Consider the following 4,696-nt stretch of genomic DNA (forward strand, 5'->3'; position numbering starts at 1 on the left):
CCAAGTAACTGGGATTTCAAGCATGTGCCACCACACACGGCTAATTTTTGTATTTTTAGCAGAGACGGGTTTTTGCCATAGTGGCCAGGCTGGTCTCGAACTCCTGACCTCAAGAGATCTGCTCACCTCGGCCTCCCAAAGTGCTAGGATTACAGGCGTGAGCCACTGCACCTGGCCAAAGGATGCATTTCTGATCTTATTAACCACACTCATCATTCTGGGCATTCATGACTGTACTACAGAGGTACACGACCCTTTAATCAAAACCCTTGCAACCAGATGTTTTTAATTTTGTAAAGGGAACATGGTACTTATACCATATATTCGTCCCACCCCAAATAAGGTCTGTAATTAACACATTATTTCTGCAGCAAAACATATTCCCACAAATTAGAATGAACTTCCTAAGTTGCCTCACATCAGTTCAGATAAGATTTGCTGCCAAACAAGTACAAGACAAGTCAGGCTTTGCTACCAAATGGAATTTGAAAACAAACAACCCAACCAAACAAACTTAAAAAAAAAATGAATCTTTTGTTTTGATACTGCAGATAAGTCACTGCGCACTTATGTAACAGTGACTAAAAGGGTGCCTGAGTTGTTTTGTCTTGGATGTAGAGGTCATGGCTATCATTTTGAGGACTCGAGGTCTGCTTCTCTAAGTCTTCCTGCCTCTATGCAATCTGGCATCCTCCCGTCTGTTTTGTTGCTGTGATTTCCTCTACCACCTTTCCTGTCCTGTTAATTTATCACTTTTAATCTGCTGTGACTTAATGAAATAGATACTAACATTATAATTATGTATGAAATTAGAGTAAGTAGGTTTTACATCAGAAGGCCAAAAGTTGTTTTATAATAAGGTATATAAACTTTGCTCATATTCATGATAAAAGCTATTTCAACCATTTAGAGGCTTTTTTGTTTGCTAGTGATTCGCACCTGTATTTGCAATTTTTGAGATACTTATCTTTAAAAAAAACCCAACACTCCCCACTCTGAGAAAAAAAGAGAGAGATACATTGTCTCATTTTATAGATGTCATCTATTTTCAGGATCTGACATCTTATAAAACCATATTATTATAATATATATATATGACATTTTGGTCATCGAAAAATAAGCTAAAGTTTAAAACTTATTCACTCTAGCACAAAAAAGATTATGACGATAAATAGTGAAGTATTTGTAAAATATTAAAAGTAGAATCTCAGCATGACTTTTGTAAACAATAACAGTCAATTGCCAATATTTTTATTATCGCTCAACTTGCAAGTCCTTCCATATTCTGCCCCTGCCTTCTGCATTTATCTTCCTTTATTACTGCTGTCAGTGTGAGCCTTTCCACAGCTCCAACATGTAGAGCCCTTCAGCGGCAATGCCCACACAGGCCATACTTATCCCTGCAACACATAAGAAATCTGAGGAGGCCGGGCGCAGTGGCTCATGCCTGTAACCCCAGCACTTTGGGAGGCCGAGGCGGGCGGATCACGAGGTCAGGAGATGGAGACCATCCTGGCTAACACGGTGAAACCCCGTCTCTACTAAAAAAATACAAAAAATTAGCTGGGCGTGGTGGTGGGCGCCTGTAGTCCCAGCTACTCGGGAGGCTGAGGCAGGAGAACGTCGTGAACCCGGGAGGCGGAGCTTGCAGTGAGCCGAGATCGTGCCACTGCACTCCAGCCTGGGAGACAGTGGGAGACTCCGTCTCAAAAAAAAAAAAAAAAAAAGAAAGAAAAAAAAATCTGAGGAGGAGTAGAGGGTCACAAATAGAAATCAACACAGGAATGTCCAAGACTCAAGGTTCCCTGAGGGAAGTAGCCAAAGCTGGTCGAACATCAGTATCAAGTGTTAAGAGAGAGAGGTAATGAAAGCCCTACTCCAGAAGAGTACCAGGAGAAGTAAGAACAAAGAAACCCAATCAGGTGACTCAAGCATAAGAAAGCATCTTGAGGGCCTCTGACTCACCCATTTAGCAAAGGTCCAAGTACCTGCCAAGCACAGGGATGGGCCCTGGGGATACAAAAAAAAAAAAAGTACAAAATGGTCCCCACCCTTCAGGGCATGCAGTGTTGTTAGCAATTAGACAAGCATAAACAAATAATGACAACCATATACCATGTCATACCAGTACAATTTAATACCAGGTGCTACCTGAGCACAGGGAAATGAGTGCCTGACGCTGCTGTGCAAAACCAGCAGTGACATCACAGAGACTTGCTGTGCTTCCTTTCACTGAATGGCTTCCAACTTCCATGCTGCTCCTCCAGCGCTCTGACATGCATTCGCCACAGCGCCTTAGCACTTGCTCTTCCCTTGCCCTAGAGCACTCTTCTTCCAGATTGCTACATGGCTCACTCACTTCATTCAGTTCTCAGCTCAAGTGCTACCTCATCAGAAAAGATTTCTCTGACGAACCACCCTATTTAAACTATACTCCTACCCTGCCTAAACCCATACACACACACACACACACACACACTCACTCACTCTCTCTCTCCCTATTGCATTACATTGCTTTTTTATCACAGCACCTATCACAATCTGAAGATCTCGTTCAATTATTTATTGTCTGTTTCCCTCATGTAAATTCTGTGAGAGCAGGGATATCTGTCAGTTTTGTTTATTGCTATATATCCCCAGTGCTGGGCAGAGTTTAATGAATGAATAAGGAGAAATTTGAGCTGAGTTATGAAGAACATGTAGCAGTTTATCAAGGGAATGGGCAGGAGGTGGAGGCAGGAACACAGAATGTACATAGACACAAATAACAAGGAGTCAAGGCACTGTTAAAGGAACTTAAAGAGGGAAATAAAATAATCTGTTCCTGGCACACAGTGTGTTTATATTCCATGTTATTAAATAAATGAGTGAATGAGTGAATAAATGGTTGAATTAATAAACAGAGTTGTGCTTTAGAAAGTGTGTAAGGGGGCTGGGCATGGTGGCTCACACCTGTAATCCCAGCACTTTGGGAGGCCGAGGCAGGAGGATCATGAGGTCAGGAGATCAAGATCATCCTGGCTAACATGGTGAAACCCTGTCTCTACTAAAAATACAAGAAATTAGCCAGGCGTGGTGGCAGGTGCCTGTAGTCCCAGCTACTCGGGAGGCTGAGGCAGGAGAATGGCAGGAAGCCAGGAGGCGGAGCTTGCAGTGAGCCAAGATCGCATCACTGCATTCCAGCCTGGGTGACAGAGTGAGACTTGGTCTCAAAAAAAGAAAAAGAAAGCGTGTAAGGGGGCAGGCCTGTGCTGGATTTGCGGCAGACTGTCTTGCAGCTTCTAGGGCTAACTCAGGTGAGGTGGAGCTGCTAGGGTCCTGAATTCAGAGATCCCTTGATTGACAAGGAACATTATGGCAAGCCAGTGGCTGAAGTAACTGAGGAGGAGAAGAATGATCAGGAACTCAAGGAGACTCAGCTCATCAAAGCTGCTCCAACAATGACAACGAGCTCTGTGTTTGAAGACCCCACAATCAGTAAATTCACCAACATGATGATGAAGGGAGAAAACAAAGTACTAGCCAGATCCTTCATGACTCAGGTTCTGGAAGCTATGAGAAGTACCATGATGCTTCTGCAGGGGAACAGGCAACCATTGAACACAACCCCTATACCAGAGGTCCCCAACCGTTTTGGCACCAGAAACTGGTTCCCACCGACAGGGGAGAGGGGGTTGATGGGAGAGGGGTGGAAGGGATTGATGATTTCATCAGGCACTGGATTCTCATAAGGAGTATGCAACCTAGATCCCCGAATGTGCAGTTTACAATAGGGTTCGTGCTTCTATGAGAATCTAAAGTTGCTGCTGATCTGACAGGAGGTGAAGCTCAGACGGTAATGCTGGCTTTCTCACCTTGCTTGCTCGCCACTCACCTCCTGCTGTGTGGCCTGGTTTCTAACAGGCCATGAACCTTACCACGGGTCCATGGCCTGGGGGTTGGGAACTCCTGCCCTACACCGTCTTCAACTAGGCAGTGAAAAACTATGAGCCTGTGATTGGGCTGATACCCATCCTCAAGGGAGGCCATTTCTCCTGGATCCCTGGATCCTCACCCTACCAATATCACCACTTCCTGGCCATAAAGTGGATGATCACTAAGTGGCACCAGGGGATGCTGATGCCAGCCAGAGAAGCTGTCGCATGGGCTGCTGGAGGCTTTTTGCAACCAGGGCCCCGTGATCAAGAGGAAGCATGACATGCACAAGATGGTCAAGGCCAACCATGCCCTGGCCCACTACTGCTGGCGGTAGAGATTCCAGAAGGAGCTCAGGGCCCTCCACTGCAAGAAATACTGTGAGCCACTGCCACTTCAAAAAATAGCTGTGGGTTAAGGATGTAGTTCCTTTTTAAGGGCCGGCAGGCCTCATGAGAAGGATGGAGCAGCATATTTATTGCCTGGTAATCCTTCTTTCTTTGAGGCTAAAATTTGCTCTCCCTCTGTCCCCCTCTCCTTGTAAAGAGAGAGCACATTGTCTTGGAAACGTCGTCCAAGAAACTTAGGACCCAGGCTTCTCTTCGCTCAGCTTGGGATGGACCTTTGGATGATATAAAAGGAAGCGGTTTTAGGTATTAGAAAAGATTTTGGACATTTGGATGATATAAAAGGAAGCGGTTTTAGGTATTAGAAAAGATTTATTAGAAAATTCTCACACTGAACTGGTATACCTTGTGGTACAGTACTACCATTCACTAAA

The 4,696-nt window shown here is 44.6% G+C and overlaps 1 pseudogene; it reads left to right on the forward strand.

Annotated features, from left to right (window-relative positions):
• MRPS7P2 (mitochondrial ribosomal protein S7 pseudogene 2) lies at nt 3,239-4,446 on the forward strand (annotated as a pseudogene).

This window comes from Homo sapiens, chromosome 12, assembly GCF_000001405.40.
Source record: "Homo sapiens chromosome 12, GRCh38.p14 Primary Assembly".
NCBI lineage: Eukaryota > Metazoa > Chordata > Mammalia > Primates > Hominidae > Homo > Homo sapiens.